This window comes from Homo sapiens, chromosome 19 (assembly GCF_000001405.40).
Source record: "Homo sapiens chromosome 19, GRCh38.p14 Primary Assembly".
NCBI classification, from domain to species: domain Eukaryota; kingdom Metazoa; phylum Chordata; class Mammalia; order Primates; family Hominidae; genus Homo; species Homo sapiens.
The window spans coordinates 45,092,120-45,108,398 of NC_000019.10; the positions used below are offsets into that span (position 1 = coordinate 45,092,120).

At 55.3% G+C, this 16,279-nt stretch overlaps 1 protein-coding gene across 1 annotated transcript in view, besides 6 other annotated features; it reads left to right on the forward strand.

Annotated features, from left to right (window-relative positions):
* Positions 663-712: an enhancer, noted in NCBI's record as "active region_14780". NCBI's record gives its function as "activates an Ori minimal core promoter by ATAC-STARR-seq in GM12878 lymphoblastoid cells {active_cell/tissue: GM12878}" and the evidence as "EXISTENCE:reporter gene assay evidence [ECO:0000049][PMID:35858748]".
* The window catches only part of PPP1R37 (protein phosphatase 1 regulatory subunit 37), a 54,107-nt gene continuing 38,887 nt past the window's right edge, over positions 1,060-16,279 (forward strand). Inside the window, exon 1 of the mRNA NM_019121.2 lies at positions 1,060-1,408. Coding sequence (NP_061994.1) covers positions 1,207-1,408 — 202 coding nt within the window. The 5' untranslated portion in view covers positions 1,060-1,206. The remainder of the gene's footprint in view (positions 1,409-16,279) is intronic.
* Positions 1,133-1,342: a silencer, noted in NCBI's record as "silent region_10754". NCBI's record gives its function as "represses an Ori minimal core promoter by ATAC-STARR-seq in GM12878 lymphoblastoid cells {active_cell/tissue: GM12878}" and the evidence as "EXISTENCE:reporter gene assay evidence [ECO:0000049][PMID:35858748]".
* Positions 5,429-6,017: an enhancer, noted in NCBI's record as "H3K27ac-H3K4me1 hESC enhancer chr19:45600806-45601394 (GRCh37/hg19 assembly coordinates)". NCBI's record gives its function as "activates a minimal SCP1, AML or CMV promoter by ChIP-STARR-seq in naive H9 embryonic stem cells {active_cell/tissue: H9 hESC(naive)}" and the evidence as "EXISTENCE:reporter gene assay evidence [ECO:0000049][PMID:30033119]".
* Positions 6,018-6,607: an enhancer, noted in NCBI's record as "H3K27ac-H3K4me1 hESC enhancer chr19:45601395-45601984 (GRCh37/hg19 assembly coordinates)". NCBI's record gives its function as "activates a minimal SCP1, AML or CMV promoter by ChIP-STARR-seq in naive H9 embryonic stem cells {active_cell/tissue: H9 hESC(naive)}" and the evidence as "EXISTENCE:reporter gene assay evidence [ECO:0000049][PMID:30033119]".
* Positions 7,786-8,373: an enhancer, noted in NCBI's record as "H3K4me1 hESC enhancer chr19:45603163-45603750 (GRCh37/hg19 assembly coordinates)". NCBI's record gives its function as "activates a minimal SCP1, AML or CMV promoter by ChIP-STARR-seq in primed H9 embryonic stem cells {active_cell/tissue: H9 hESC(primed)}" and the evidence as "EXISTENCE:reporter gene assay evidence [ECO:0000049][PMID:30033119]".
* Positions 13,086-13,675: an enhancer, noted in NCBI's record as "H3K4me1 hESC enhancer chr19:45608463-45609052 (GRCh37/hg19 assembly coordinates)". NCBI's record gives its function as "activates a minimal SCP1, AML or CMV promoter by ChIP-STARR-seq in primed H9 embryonic stem cells {active_cell/tissue: H9 hESC(primed)}" and the evidence as "EXISTENCE:reporter gene assay evidence [ECO:0000049][PMID:30033119]".

The window sequence follows — 16,279 nt, forward strand, 5'->3', positions numbered from 1 at the left end:
TCTTTTCGACTTCTTCATGCCGTTACCACTCTTCATCAGTTAGTCTAGCCTCAATGTTTTCATTTATTTCCTTTGTTTTTTTTGGGGGGGGGGGAACGGAGTCTTGCTCTGTCGCCCAGGCTGGAGTGCAGTGGCACGATCTCGGCTCACTAAAAGCTCCGCCTCCCGGGTTCACACCATTCTCGTGCCTCAGGCTCCCGAGTAGCTGGGACTACAGGCGCCCGCCACCACGCCCGGCTAATTTTTTGTATTTTTAGTAGAGACGGGGTTTCACCGTGTTAGCCAGGATGGTCTCGATCTCCTAACCTCGTGATCCGCCCGTGTCGGCCTTCCAAAGTGCTGGGATTACAGGCGTGAGCCACCGCGCCCGGCCCATTTCTTTCCTTTCGTTGAGACAGGGTCTGGCTCTGTCTACCAGGTCGGAGTGCAGGGGCGCGATCATAGCTCAGTGCAGCCTCAACCTACCGGGCTCAAGCGATCTTCCCACCTCCCAAGTAGCTGGAACTACAGGCTCCTGTAACCAGACCCTGCTAATTTTTAAATTTTTTGTAAAGACGGGGCCTTGCTATGTTGCCCAGGCTGGTCTCGAACTCCTGGACTCAAGCGATCTTCCCGCCTCAGCCTTCCAAAGTGCTGGGATTATAGGCGTGTGCCGCCGCGCCCCGCCAGGTGTTTTCAGTTCTATGCACTCCATTCCCTGGGCTCTTGACGAATGTGCGGGAGCTGAATATTCGTTATTTGGACTCCGGCAGGAAGGCGTGGGCTCAGCTTCGCGCTTGCGCGCTGCTCTTGGAGACGGCGTCTACTTCGCCCCGCCCCTCATAGTCTGCAGTTCCGGCTCTGCAGATTCGCTGCTCACGTTTCTTTTTTCCGTGGCCCTTCCTGCCCTTTGTTTCTCTCTTCATGTCACCCGCGGGACAACTCTACGTGCAAGTCGCTGAAATCGATTTTCTGCTTCTTATAGTAAGCGGCGGGCTCGCCAGCCTCGAGCGAAAGTGTGACTGCGAACGGGCAGGCGCGCGCGGGGCTCGGCGGAGGCGCGCTTGGGCTCCCGGCGGCGACGACTACGACCACTAGGAGAGCGGACGGAGGCGGCGCCTGAAGCGGCGGCGGAGCCCATGCCCCGGGACGGCGGGCGGACCCGGAGAGACAAATCCGGGGCCCGGGGCATGTCCCCGGGGCCCCCGTGAGGAGGCGGCGGCGGCTATGGAGATCGCGCCGCAGGAGGCGCCGCCCGTGCCGGGCGCGGACGGCGACATTGAAGAGGCCCCAGCTGAGGCCGGGTCTCCCAGCCCCGCGTCGCCCCCCGCCGATGGGCGCCTCAAGGCTGCAGCCAAGCGCGTCACATTCCCGTCCGACGAGGATATCGTGTCTGGAGCAGTGGAGCCCAAAGACCCCTGGAGACATGGTAGCTACCGCGGGTGAAGCGGGGGCGGGCTCGAGAGGGACCCGGGAGTCGGGAGGGATCGGTGCAGGGCCCGGCTCGAGGTGGCGTTCAATAGATTGCACCTAATGGTGAATAAGGGGACAGTCGTCAGTTTAGAACCGTAGTCTGTTAGAAAGGGGGTGGCTATGGAGTTGGGAAGGTGAAAAGTATCTGGTTTCTGCCGCACCCCACCCACCCGAGACAAAGATGGTGATCGTTTTAGGGTTTAAAACGATGAGCAATTAAAGAAAGTTTGGTGTTTTGTCAGATGTAGAGTGTGGCAGCCTTTGCGTTCGTAGTTCCACCAGAGAAGGAGAGAAGGAGCAGTTGAGAGGAGGAGCGGGTCAACACTGGGCCTGAAAGGGCAGTTGAAAGAGTTTGATGGGTCTATGGGGGTAAAAAGAGGTTAAGTTGCTGGTCTGCAAGCCTTGGGGCAAGGAGTGGTCGTGTTGGCCACTTTCTTGGCTGGAAAGAGGGAGACTATAAACTTGGACTGTGGCTATAGAGGACTTGGTAAAAAGGAGTCAAGATAAGGTCCCAGAAGAGGAGCAGAGGTGGTGGTCAATTTGTGGTTGGGTGAGGGAGAAAGAGGCAGTGTGGTTTTTATGTTTTCTTTTTTATTGAGACAAGGTCTCACTACATTGCCCAGGCTGGTCTCGGACTTCTGGGTTCAAGCTGTCCTCCCTCCTTGGCCTCCCAGAGTGTTGGGATTACAGGTGTGAGCCACCGCCGCCTGCTGCAATGTGGTATTAAGAAGAAAAGCCAACGCCTACCGCCGCCTCCTCCTCCAAAAAAAAGAGAAGCAGAAGGAAGGCTGTCAGTCATTCAGGAGCAGAGGATGTTTGGGACATGGCTACGGAAGGGTCCTCTTGTTCCTTCCTGAGAAAGAATTGGGGGATGGCCGGGTGCATTGGCTCAGGCGTGTAATCCCAGCACTTTGGGAGGCCAAGGTGGGTGGATCACCTGAGGTCAGGAGTTTAAAACCAGCCTGGCCAACATGGGGAAACCCCGTCTCTACTAAAAATACAGAAATTGGCCGGGCATAGTGGTGCACACCTGTAATCCCATCTACTCAAGAGGCTGAGGCAGGGAGAATCGTTTGAACCCGGGAGGTGGAGGTTGCAGTGAGCTAAGATCACGACATTGTACTCCAGCCTGGGTGACAAGAGCAAAACTCCGGCTCAAAGAAAAAAAAAAAAAGAATTGGGGGATGTTATCAAGTCAGAAATTGGAGTTGCTGGCCAGTAGCAGGTGAGAGAGATGAAAAAGTTGGCTACTTGAAGTGTTGGGAGAGAGGGCCAGCGCACTGGAGAGGGTCAGGTCAGTGTTGGAGCTGAAAGGAGTGTGTTGGAGCCATAGGGCTGGGAAAGTGGAAAGTCGCTTGGGACATGCAGGGCAGTGTTGAGTCCATTTTGTGCTGGAGAAGTCTGTCAGTTCTCCTGGGGTGGAGCCCATGAAGTGAGGGATCAGACTGGCTGTGGTGGCCGTGGTTCTGTAGAAGCTGATCTGCCGGCCCTGGGCAAGGGGAGAAACTATTGCCAGTCTGTGGACAATGGAGGAATTGGTGGCTTTGATGTGAGGGTGGGAAACATGGTAACTGGAAACTGAACACACAGGGAGTCCATCATGAATGACAGTTTGGCTACTTATTATAATTTTTTAGACGGAGTCTCCCTCTGTCGCCCAGGCCAATTCTCCTGCCTCAGCCTCCTCAGTATCTGGGATTACAGGCACCTGTCATCACACCTGGCTAAAAATGTTTGTATTTTTAGTAGAGTTGGGGGTTTCACCATGTTGGCCAGGCTGGTCTCGAACTCCCGACCTCAGGTGATCTGCCCACTTAAGCCTTCCAAAGTGCTGGGATTACCGGCATGAGCCACCGTGCCCGGCTGGCTAGTTATTCTTAAAGAGGCAGTGGTTAAATTAAGACTTTTGGGCCGGACGCCATGGTTCATGCCTGCAACCCCAGCACTTTGTCAGGCCAAGGTGGGCAGATCACCTGAGCCCAGGAGTTCAAGACCAGCTTGGGCAACAAGGTGAAACCGCGTCTCTGCAAAATATACGAAAATTAGCCAGGTGTGGTGGTGCACGCCTGTAGTCCCAGCAACTCAGGAGGCTGAAGTGGGAGGATCATTTGAGCCCAGGAGGTCGATAGTGCAGTGAACTGTGATTGCGCCACTGAACTCCAGCTTGGGTGACAGAGACCCGGTCTTAAAAAAAAAAAAAAAAAAAAGAGTTTTGGCACTAGGAGCCAGCCAAGTCCTTGGGCTCTAGGCCCCAGGGATAGGTGGTTAGTTTGGGACCCGGGCACAGTCAGAATGCCCCCTGGCTATTGCGTGATATCCAGTCCAGAGCAGGAAGGGGAAAGACCTGGAGAGGCAGAGCAGGGTGTTTCAAGAGCAGAGGCTCCAGGTCAGATCCTTTGAGACCTCGGGCTGGTTACCTAACTCCTGAGCCTCAGTCTTCCCATCTGTGAAGTAGGTGGCAATACTCTTGCCACGGAATTTAGGAGAGGACTGGATGAAGTCACATATGGAAAGGAATTGGCCAGGGTGAGTGTTCTCGATGGCAGTCATTGTTATTAAGACAGTGTTGGTCATCTTGGGCTGGTGTGGAGGAGTTCATGCATGGGGTGGGGCCTGGATGTGGCTGCTTCAGAGGCTTCCAGGAGAGGGGAGAGATGGCAGTCAATGCGTGGGCCTGGAGTGAGGTGCGAGGGGGAAGATGGTCAGTTTGTGGGCTGAAGGGTCAGGGGTGAGGGCAGCAAGAGAGTCTGGCACAGATTGGGCTTTGGGGGGTAAAGTTTCTGGTCTGCAGATTCCCAGAACAGGTTTGGCTTTCATTCAGTAAGCCACTTTTCCTCTCCAAGCCTCTGTTTCTTTCTCTGCAAATGGAGGTGCTAATTTTTACCATGGGGTAGTTGTGAAGATGAAGTAAGATAGTCCTCATAAATTTCTGCCACATAAATAGCAGCTGTCATCCAGGCAGATTTGTTTTTTGTTTGTTTGTTTGTTTTCACGTGCAGTCTTGAAGAGGCAGTGAAAGAACTGGAGAGGCAGAAGGCTATCTGTCAAGAAAAGAGGGGCAGTTGGAGCCTGGCTGGGAGGAGTTTAGAGGAGGGGTGCCGGTTGGTCTGTCCTGGGTAAGGGGTAGAGTGGGTAACACTCTCCAGGCTGGGGGAGTCTCTCATTCCAGCGGTTGAGAGAGGGGCAGTAAGGTCTGGTTGGGACTCACACTCTCGAGGAGTCCGTGCGTCTGAGCTGCAGAGGTGATGACATGGACTGGACTGGAAGAATTGGTCCATCCTGTTTGGGAAGAGGGCTTGAGGAGTTGGCTTGGCAGTGAGGAGTTGGATGATCTTGGGCCTGGGCAGGGGAGGGGTCATTGGTGAAGTTGGTGAGTTTGGACAAAGGGATTTGCAGGACAGAAAACCCAAGGGCCTGGGAACAGCAAGGAGCAGGGGTTAGGCTCCATGCTGGGGAGGACGATGGAGTGGTTCACTGGCCATGGGGCTGTGGGAGGTGGAGGGTTCGCCAGGGTGAAGAGGAATCGTGGTACAGAAAGTGGGTCTAAGGGGAGGCCCAAGTGAGAGGCCCAGAGGGTCTGGGGCTGGAGGACTGCAGGGAGGGGTTGCTTGGTCTTGGAACAGAGGTAGGAGATTTGTTGGCATCAATCTCATAAGCTGTGGGGAGGGACAGGGGGTGTCATTTGAGCTGTGGATCTAGTGGAAGGGTGGCGTGACCCCAAGGCCAAGGGGTAACAGAAGAGCTGACAGGTCTGAAGGGGGGAGACTCAGTTATCCGGAAGCTGTTGTGCCGTGCTAGAGATGGAGCGCTGCCTAGGCCAGGGGATGGAGGAGCGCCCCTGGGTGAGGAGGAAGCAGCACTGGGGGCACCCCAGTGCAGGGGTCTCCTTCAGCAGAGCCTCACCCCTGGGGCTACAGTGGTGGCCCAGCTGGGTGGGAGCTGTGGGGGGTGTCTACCTGAGGGTGAGCGCTCCCTCAGGCCCTGCAGGGGCCCAGGGTTTGGGGATTCCTGGAGATGAGGTGATCTGGAGGAGGGGGATTGTGAGGGAGGGTCTCGAGCCTGCCCAGGCTTATCCGGATTCCCATCTCCCACAGTGGGGTTCCGCCTGCTGGGGCTGCTGTTTCCTCATTACGTGAATGGCCATCTGATGTTCTTCTGTTGTGTGCTTGTTTTCTTGGTGGTGGTCTCTCTCCCGCGCTGGAATGGGAGAGCAGAGGCCGAAGTCCATCCTCTTCTCCGCTTTCCTCAAGGACACTCAGTTGTTGAATGAGCGCCTGTGGGCCCGTGAGGCCTGGTGGTGTCTGAGAGCCACCTAGCAGAGTGACATGTAGCTGAATGTCAGGGGCCTGAGCAGCCTGGCGTGGGGATGCCAGTGGGGCAGCAGTGTGCTCTGTGGCCTCTGGCAAGCATGGGTTCTTGCAGAGCATTGTGTTTCCTCACCTGTGAAACAGGGCCAGTGATCCCTGCCCTGCAGACCACCAGGATGTCAGAGGATAGGGTGAACCTGCTGGGGGCAGGTCTCCTCAGCAAGCCACAGCCAGGTGTGTGTAGATGGGCAGGGAAGCTCGGGGAGGAGGCAGGCTGGGAATCGTGAGTGAAAGAGGCCGCTTCAGCACTGCCAGGCTGGGCACGTGGGTGCCCGTGGGGAGCGAGCTAGCCGGCTGCACTGCACCCCATCATGTTGTGGCAGACCCTTCAGCTCTTCTGAAGGCCAAGGCCAGACTTACACAAGGAACCCATCAGGCCAAACTGCAGGAATGACCTGAGGCTCGGCTGGTCTCCTCAGTCCCAGCTGAACTCTGTGGGGTTGGAAAGATAGGCATGTGAGAGGGACTTGTGATGAGAGCACATGACACCAGCCACAGTCCGGGAGACTCATCTCCCCTCCTCCAGTCCTGCCGGTGACTCACTCCCTGCTCCCTGACCATCAGTCCTCCAGTGTGTGTGCGTTGGGGGTTTGCCCACTAGGAAGCTACTTGCATGAAGTCAAGGTGTCTGCAGGGCAGGGTGAGGGGGCCCAAGCATGCTACCATCTCTGGCCACCTGAGCTTTGGAAGGCAGCGGGAGGGGTGGGGGCAGGGTGTTCTTAAATGCGGATCTTAGGGCATGGAAATGCCATACTGTTGGCTATTGAAACCCGTGCTGCAGATTCAGTCCTAAAAGCAGGCTGGACAGGTAGACATGCATCTGTCAGTGGTGGAAAGAGGCCCCAGGTTAGAGAATCGGCTTGCTTCAGCATTCGTGGTGGAGCTGCTGGGGAGTAGGGAACAGGGTCGAGGCGGGTGCTTTGATGCATCTGCTCAGATTTCCGTCTGGGCCCAGCTCCACCTCCTGCTGCTGGAGTTGGCAAGTAGACCCTGCCACTGAGCAGCCACGTGACTTTGGCGATTGTTCTCTCTGCCTCGATTTTTCTGTGTCTAAAATGCAGCAGTATGTCCTCATAGGGTGATTGGGAGGATTAAGTGAGATAACACAGTGCCTGATCCATAGTAAATGCCCAGCAAATGCCTCCCTTGTTATTCCTGTCATCACCACTCCTCTGCCCCCACCTATAGCCCTAACATTTTGTTTCTGTTTCCTGCCCGTGTTGTGTATTTGTACTCCTCTTTCCCCTATAGTGTCCCACGTCAGCGTCCCTGCTTTCCCTCAGAGGCCCACTCCTCCAGGCTGGGTGCCCCAGCAGTCCCTGACCTCCAGGCCTGACTCTGTCTCTGCCAAGCTGTGTGACCGTGGACAATTTGTCCAATCTCTCTGAGCTAAAACTAAATCAGCCTGTCTCAGCCCACTAGTAGAAGAGGCAGCAGGGGTACCAAGATTCCACACTGGCCATGTTAGTTCCAGCTTCTGCCTACTCTGGCTGATGACTTTGGACAAGTTGCAGCTCCTCCCTGAGCCTGAGTCTCCTCTGGAGCGGGGGCTCCACCACCCCAGCCCCCTGCCCTGTTGGAGCATGATCAGGTTAGTGGTGGTATTGTGCTGGTGCCTGTCCTCTGCCCTCCCAGGCCCTTTGCACACTGTGACTCGCCGCTCTCCGTGCCTGTACATGCAGTTGGGCCGCCTGATTCTTTGTGCCTGTGATTATCTGTGCTCGCATCTATTTCCCCCTTCAAGGGCAAAGACTGTGTATGAGTCACCTCTGTGACCCTAGTCTAGCACACAGGAGGGCTCGGGCACGGGACACATGTCCGAAGGACTGGGGTGTTTTCCTGGGATCAAACACCCCATGGTGGGATTTACAGGAAACTTTTTTTGTGGTAGTTAATCCAGTTGGTGCCAGGACGAGGACTCTTTCTCAGGGACCTACAGACAGGCTTTAGCACCCATTCTGACTCCCGGAAGAGCACGCGAAGCTGGCCCCCAGCTGGCACTCGGTAACCAGCCTTCAGTGCGTCAGCGGGAGTGCGTGTGCACTTGTTTCTGGGAGCGAGTACTGGGGCTCTGCGAACCTTCACAGGCATCCGACTCCAAGAGGATTAAGAACCGTGGGGCCAAATGCCCTGTGTTGGACGGACTGCAGCTGGAGCAGTCACTGAGCACGGAGGCCAGAAACCTGTTTTTACAAAAGCTCCCCAGGTGGTTCTGACAACCTCGCTTGGCTGTCTGTGTGCTTTGCTCCGCCATCCATCACTCAGTCCCAAGCCTGCCTTCAGACCTCAGTTCAGGGGTGGCTGGCATTGACCTCAAAGCCTTTTTTGGAGCAAATTAACAGGTGAGCATTGAAATACTGCAGAAATTCAAGCTGAGCCGGCCACCTGCTGCAGTAGGGCATGGGGGCAGGTGGGTTAAATTCTTGCCTTCTGGCTGACCTTAGTCATCACCAGTCATTGCCTTCCATGTGCCTGTACCAGGCACTGGTCTCAGTGCCTTTTGTGTATTATCGCATTTAGATATCACAGCCACCCCAGGAGGTAGGTGCCGTTTGCCCCAATTTGTAGATGAGGAAATGGAGCCCATAGAGGTAAAGTAATTTTCCTGAGGTCACACAGTGGGTAAGTGGTGGAGCTGGGATTCAAATCCAGGCAGCCAGCCTGGCGCCGAAGCCTGCGCAGTAATAACCCCTGTGCGGCGGCTGAGTGCTTGGACGCATTCGGTGCAACGTGCCATACGGTCTCTTCATCTATAACCCAGAATCGTTTATAAAATAGAGGCAACAGTGCTGGCTTTGCGGTGTTGTGGCAGGGAGGAGAAACAGAAACAGGTGGGGTAAGGGCCCAGCCTTGGTGGGCACGCAGGAGGGGGTCACTGTGGTTCGTGGACAGCTTGAGTCCCTGGAGATTTGTGCTGCTCCTCTGTCCTCAGCATTGCCTGCTGTTCTGACCCTTGGCCTCTGGGACGTGTTCTTCCTGTGCTACTCAGTGTCTGGTATGTGATAGGCGCTCAATATATTCTTGCTGCGTGAGTGACTTGGTGACCCCGTAACCAGTCATGCATTCAGCATGGTGTGGCCGTGCCACGTGTTACGAGTCAGGGCAGAAGACAGGCCCAGTCCATGCTTCTGTGGGGGTCACAGTCAAGTGAGGGAGACACACAGTAAAGAATTCTCAGCAAACCAGGCTTCTGAGGACTCAGATTAGGGAGGGTCCACAGGGTGTGCAGGAGGGCAGGGCAGAGGCAGCTTCCTAGAAAGGACGTCACCAAGGAAATCCAGCAGTAAGCCAGGTGAGGAGCAGTGGGAGGAGTGCACCAGGGGTGGAAGGCAGAGAGAACCAGCCTGGTATGTCTGAAGAACAGAAAAAAGCCAGACTTAGTTGAGGTAGAGGCAGGCTGGTCAGAGGTGAGGCTGGAGGAGGCAGGAGAGACTGCTGTGTGGGGCCTTATGGGCTGTGCTAGCAGGGAGCCCCAGAGGGCTTAAGAAGGGGCCTGGGCTGGGCATGGGGGGCTCACGCCTGTCATCCCAGCACTTCAGGAGCTCCAGGCGGGAAGATCACTTAAGCCCAGGAGTTTAAGACCAGCCTTGGCAACATGACGAGACCTTGTCTCTACAAAAAATACAAAAATCAGCCGGGCATGGTGGCATGTGCCTATAGTCCCAGCTACTCAGGAGGCTGAGGTGGAAGGATCACTTGAGTCCAGGAGGTCGAGGCTTTAGTGAGCTGTGATCACACCACTGCCCTCCAGCCTATGTGACAGAGTGAGACCCTGTCTCAAAAGAAAAAGGAGGGGCATGGTGGGTGTTTTTAACAGAATCCTGTGTGGAGGTGACATGAATAGGGTGAGACTGAGACAGGGAGGCCAGGGAGGGGCCGTGAGCCAGGAGCCCGGAGGCTGTAGGCTTGGCGTAGCCTCATATTGGCTGATAGCTGACACTTGACTTCATTGACTTCTTCATCAGATTCCTCTGAGTCCTCCCCTCCACCAGCAGGTTTGCCGATGCCACTGTTTCCCATAGCACCTCTGAGGTGACTGTTATTCCCCTTCCCTTCTCTCCTTGGATCTGAGTCCCTTCCCTCGTGCTCCCCCAGCCAGCGTGTCCTTGGCCTGCTTGGGACATCCTGCCCCTGCATGGGCTGTGGGAGGCGTGTGGGCTGTGAAGTCCGGTGACCTCTCCAGTGACTTCACCTCCACAGTCCCTTCAGGTCTCACAGTACCCAGATCCAGAAAACTCTACAGACCATCCCAAACCCCTCTGGTGGCTTAGCGCAATATCGGTGTCTGATCAGTCTTATAAAATCCAGAAAATTCTGATTCTAAAACACGTCTGGCCCAAGGGTTCCAGGAGGAGACTCTGGAGCCCGCAGCGGGCCTCGTTCCATGTTTGTGAAATGGCAGTAACCTGAGAGGCAGCACGGGAGCCCCCTGGGTGCCAGTCCCAGCTCTGCCCTTGGGCAAATCACCCAGCTTCTTTGCCTCAGTGTCCCCATTTGTATGGGGATTGAGGATTAAATTAGCCTCTACTTGGAAAGCAGCTGGAACAGTAGCTGGCTGTTGCAGGCGCTCATGAGGACATGGGAAAGTTGAGTGAGGTGGTCACTGCCTTGAACTTGACTGGTTCCTGCCTCCCCCGGCTGTAAGGGTTAGGCAGGTGGGGCTAGATGACCAGCGGGTAGGATCATCTGCCTGAGTGTGATTTCGGCTCCTCCACACTTGGGCTGTGTGGCCTTGGGCAAGTCCCTTGACCTCCCTGGACCACTTTCCCCATTTGTGAAGCCATTTTGCCAGATGAGGACTCTCTCAAAGTTTTTAGACTCTCTGGGAAGACCAGAGAGCCAGGCCTGGGGCCCACGCCAGCAGGAGCACACCCTGCATCAAGTGTGGAGCTGATGCCGCTCCTGTTACATAGCCGCCACAGCACCTCCAGGGCTGAGCCCACGTCAGGCTCCTGGGCTGGAGCCACACAGGAGGCTGGGGTCTGCTGTTTCAGCTAAGAGGAGGTGGGAGATGTGGAGGGGCTTCCCTAATTGCAAGAAGGTGGTTCAGAGGCTGGGTGCCAAAAGGAATTCGAGAGATCCGTCATGCTTGGCTATGTTTCGTACATTAAGTAGGAAGGTCCATGAAGGCAGGACCCATCTTTGTCTTGGCTCACCTGTGTCCCCAGCACCCTCCATGGTGCCTGGCCCTCCGCAGGGTCTCACACTGGATGAATTGGTGGTGGATGGAGGTACACAGTAGGCACTCAGAAGTTGTTCTCACCCCTTCCCTTCCTCTAGGCAGCTGGTACTGAGCGGTTGCCTCAAGGTGGGGGTGGAGGTTTGGAAGTGTCTGCTGACATCCGCACAGCTCATGTGACTTGCCCAGCGCCCATCTCACTTCGCAGCGGAAGCCTGGGTCGGGAGCCCTGCAGTCGGATGCTCCCCTCAGGGCTGGTTGGGTTCCAGCTGGGAATGTGTTCCCTGGTTAGGTGGGCGGGCTCCTCTAGCAAGCTGGCGCTTGGGACCCGCCGGGGTCGGACTCGTGTGCCACCTTCACACCCACCCCTCCCTCTCTCCACGGTCTCCGAGGCTCTCACCAGCTGCTGTCAGCGATGTAGTGGAGAACTGCTCGCGTCCTGTGCAGTCTTCCCTTTTGCAAAGCAAAGCACTGTCACAGCTGAACTCGCTTGGTTCCCCAGGACAACAGGGAGGGAGGGTGGGAGAGTGGGGCTGCCAAAAGGTGAAAGCGAGCCGCAGGGAAGTGACTCTCTGCAGGGGTCATGCCTCCTGGTGGTGGTGATGGAGGTGATGGTACTCAAAGCTCCCATTTATGGAGCGCTTAACAGGGCTAAGCTCTTTACATGCATCGTTAATCTTGGAGGAGGAAACAGGCTCACAGAGGTGCCAAGGCCACACAGGTAGTAGAGGAGGAGCTGAGTTATAGCCCGGCAGCTTGAATGGTTCTGATCCTCTGTCCTGTTTCAGAAAGCCCCCAGGGCTCCACTGTAACTACAGGACAAAGTCCACACCCGTGGGCCTGGTGTGGGAGGCCTTTCCCACAGAACGCCCAGCCTCCTAGACACAGGCGCCTCTGCCTAGCACGCCCCTCGCTAGTCCCCTGCCCTTCCTGACCAATTCCCGTTACCCCTCCCACGCCTAGACGCAGGCGCCTTTGCCCAGCACACCCCTCGATAGTCCCCTGCCCTTCCTGACCAACTCCCCCTCCCGTGCTGCCTTCTGGGCAAGGCCTTCTCTAATCCCCGGACAAAGCTCTGCTCCGCTCGTCTGGGTTCCCATGGCGCCTCCTCGCTCTGTTGTTATTTGTTCGGGCCCATCTCCCCTCCCTGGACCAGTGCTGCAGAGGGCTGCATCCTGTCCATCTGGCTCCTGGGAGGGGTGGAACCACTGAACGCCTCCAGGAACCTTAAGGACTCCGGGCAAAGTGGGGTTGCTTATGAGCACCCAGGCCGGGTGCCGCAAAGCCTTTGTAACCCAGGCACTGGGGCTCAGGACAGTCAGGGAGCATGGGGTGTGGGGAAGGAAGATTTCGTTCACTGAGTCCTTTTTTCCTGCATTCATTCCTTCATTCCTTGCCAACCAGCGCCTGTTTTGCCTCCACTTTGCTGTCCCTGCCATGCCAGGTGGAGGGGCCTCCCAATGGCTCTCCTGCTCCCTCTCCAACCCGCTCCCCACCTAGCAGCCACAGCATTCTTGAAAAAGCAGACTTTGCTATTCCTGTTTCACATCACACTTGTGACCTCCCTGCTGCCTTTCCCTCTGATCTAGTGTCCCTGCAACAGGTTAGGAAGCCCAGGTATAACCTGGCTCTTGCCACCATCGCCGGCCACGACCGAGATCACCTTGCCATGCTCTTGCTGGGTTCAAGCCATCGTGGCTTCCTTTCAGTCCTAGAACACGCAGGCAGCTCCCCACATCCTGTCCTGGAAGACCGGCCCCACCTACGCACACAGGTGGCTCTCACTAATCTTTCAGGTGCCAGCAAACCCTTCCTTCCTGGCCCTCCTAATGGGCTCCCCGTCAGGTGGCCAGCGATCTGCTTATCTGCGGGCCTGCTGATACTCTTGCCCTGGACTGGAAGCATCACTAGGCAGTGGTGGGTTGGGTTTGGTGCCACTGTATTCCCCAGTGCCCCAGACCACGTGGCACTGGGCCTGGCTCTGGGCAGGAGCGCAATATGGCAGGTGGAGAAGGAAGTGGCATGCAATGCTGGGTCTTAGTCCTTGCCATGAGCAGCTCAGACAGTCCCTACCCTAGCATAGTCCCTGGTCCAGAAAAGGAAGTGGGCAGAGAGGAGGAGGAGCTTTAGGGAGGGGAGTACAAAGCCTGCCTCTGGTATCCCCCCGCCAGCCTGGTGAGAATGGCAGCGCAGGACTGGCAAACAGGCCCGTCTTTGCTGTTGACTTGCTGGGGGTCATAGGCCAGGATGCTTGCCCTCTCTGTGGGGCAGGATGGTGCCCGGGGTCCTTTCCCACTGCGCGTCAGTGTTTCCCATCTCTCCATGTAGGACACCGCACCATTTAGGGAGTGATTGGATCCCAGGACCTCCTCCCTGTCACGGGGTGGCAGGCAAGGTTCTGATAATTGATCTGCCGTGTACCTTTGTGGCAGGTGACCTAATTCCCCATTCCCTGTGACCCATGTGTCACAGGTGTCAGGGGCGACCGGCCACCCAGCCAAGCTTCCATGACTCCGTTCTCACTCTGTGTTCTGTAATCCCCTTCTGTCACGGGCTTGGGATCCTTGATTCCCGGCCCGGTTCTGCCTACTATGATCACAATGAACAGTCAGTGTTCCGTTTCCCTGGAGGGCTGCCTTCCTTGCTGTGCCTGGACCTGTGTTCCCTGCTGGACAAGTCCCAGGGGGTCAGGCCCGGGGCTTTCTCGGTCCCTGCTGTGTCTCCTGCACAGCTCCAGGCACAGAGCAGGTGTTCAGTAAATGTTGTTCCATTAAAATGGAGTTGGGGCTGTTGCTGGCAGAGCCCAGGGACAGCGCCCTCATGGAGCCTGGCTTAGAGTGCCCAAGTCTGACAGTGGCCTGATCCTGTCTGGTCCTGGGGTGGAGCAGACACCAACAGGCGGGGCCATCTGACTGAATGTCCTCCCACCAGCTGTTAGGTCCAGGTGTTTGTGCTTACTGCCTTCCAGTGCAGTCAAAAGAATCCAGGGCTGGCACCAGCCCCTTCCTCATCTCAGGGGTAGAGGGGTAACCAGAGAGGGGCGGCACTTACCCAAGGATGCCCTGGCACTTGGGTCCAGGCTCCTGCTGCTCTCCTCGGCCACCCCTCCAGCTGTTTTGTTTTTGTTTTTGTTTTTTTTTTGAGATGGAGTTTCGCTCTTGTTGCCCAGGCTGGAGTACAGTGGCAGGATCTTGGCTTACTGAAACCTTTGCCTCCCAAGTTTAAGCGATTCTCCTGCCTCAGCCTCCCAAGTAGCTGGGATTATAGGCATGCGCCACCATGCCCAGCTAATTTTTTTGTATTTTTAGTAGAGACAGGGTTTCACCATGTTGGCTGGGCTGATCTCGAACTCCTGACCTCAAATGATCCACCCGCCTCGGCCTCCCAAAGCTCTGGGATTACAGGCGTGAGCCGCCGCGCCTGGCCTGTTTGTTTTGAGATGAGGTCTTCCTCTGTCGCCCAGGCTGGAGTGCAGTAGTGCAATCCTAGCTCACTGCAGCCTCCACCTCCCAGGCTCAAGTGATCCTCTTGCCTCAGCCTCCAGATTAGCTAGAACCACAGGCACAAGCCACCATGCCTGGCTGATTTTCTTATTTTTAATTGTTTTGTAGAGATGGATTTGCACCGGGTTGCTCAGGCTTCGTTGTGCTTTTGATTTGCATTTCCTTATGGCTAATGATGTTGAGCATCTTTTTTTTTTTTTTTTTTTTTTTTTTTGAGATGGAGTCTCGCTCTGTCACCCAGGCTGGAGTGCAGTGGCGTGATCTCGGCTCACTGCACGCTCCGCCTCCCAGGTTCACGCCATTCTCCTGCCTCAGCCTCCCAAGTTGCTGAGACTACAGGCGCCCGCCACCATGCCCGGCTAATTTTTTGTGTTTTTAGTAGAGACGGGATTTCACCATGTTAGCCAGGATGGTCTCAATCTCCTGAACTCGTGATCCGCCCACCTTGGCCTCCCAAAGTGCTGGGATTAGAGGCATGAGCCACCGTGCCCAGCTGATGTTGAGCATCTTTTTATGTGCTTGCTGAACACTTGTGTATCTTCTTTGGAGAAATGTCTTTTTAGTTCTTTTGCCCATTTTTAAATTGAGCCAGCCGGGCACAGTGATTCATGCCTATAATCCCAGCACTTTGGGAGGCCGAAGAGTTCGCGACCAGCCTGGGCAACATAGCAAGACCCAGTCTCTATTAAAAAAAAGGGGAGCCAGGCGCAGTGGCTCACAATTGTAATCCCAGCACTTTGGGAAGCCAAGGTGGGCAGATCATTTGAGCCCAGGAGTTCGAGACCAGCCTGGACGACATGGTGAGACCCCATCTCTATAAAAAAATGTAAAAAATTAACCAAGCCTGGTGGCTCATGCCTGTAGTCCCAGCTACCTGGGAGGCTAATGTGGGAGGATTGCTTGAGCCCAGGAGGTCGAGGCTGCAATGAGCTGTGGTCTTGCCATTGGACTCCAGCCTAGGTGAGACTCTGTCTCAAAAATAAATAAAAAATAAGTAAATGAATTGTTTGTCCCTTCATTATTGAGTTGTGAGAGTTCTATATACGTGTATCCCGGATGCAGGACTTCTCAGCTGAGCGATTTGCACCACCTGGGATGTTTTCAGCGTGTAATGCCAGTGCATTTCCTTCCCGTCTCTTCTCTCTGGCTAGATTCACAGCCACCGCTAGATAAAAATAAAGCTGTGAGGATACTGTAGATACAGTTGAATATCCTGCTTCTGCACTTCATTTTTCCGTTTTTTTAGAAAGCATGATTTAAAGTACATCACTGGGCTGTTGTAATTCATTCTAGCCATTTCCGCATTGCTGAGCGTTTAGGTCCTTTCCAGTTTTCAGTTGCATAGATAATGCAGTGATGTTCGTCCTTGTCCATAAATCTTCATGCTCATCACACGGGTAGCCTTCTTAGAAAAAATTCTTAGAAGGTGATTTTACCAGGTCAAAGGGAAGGAACATTGGAAGTCTCAGATACTGGCTGTGCCCACATTGGACAGTGAGTGTTGAGGGCTAGGGTTCTGTCGTCATAGTCACCACTGTAGCTTTAGATTTTTTTCTGAGAGAGGGTCTCTCTCTTTTTTTCTGCTTTTGAGGTTTAAACCATGGCCAGAGACAGGGTCTCGATCTGTCCCTCAAGCTGGAGTGCAGTGGCGTGATCTTGGCTGACTGCAAACTCCACCTCCTAGGCTCAAGCCATTCTCCTGCCTTAGCCTCCCGAGTAGCTGGGATTATAGGCGCGCACCACCACGCCCGGCTAATTTTCGTATTTTTAGTAGAGAC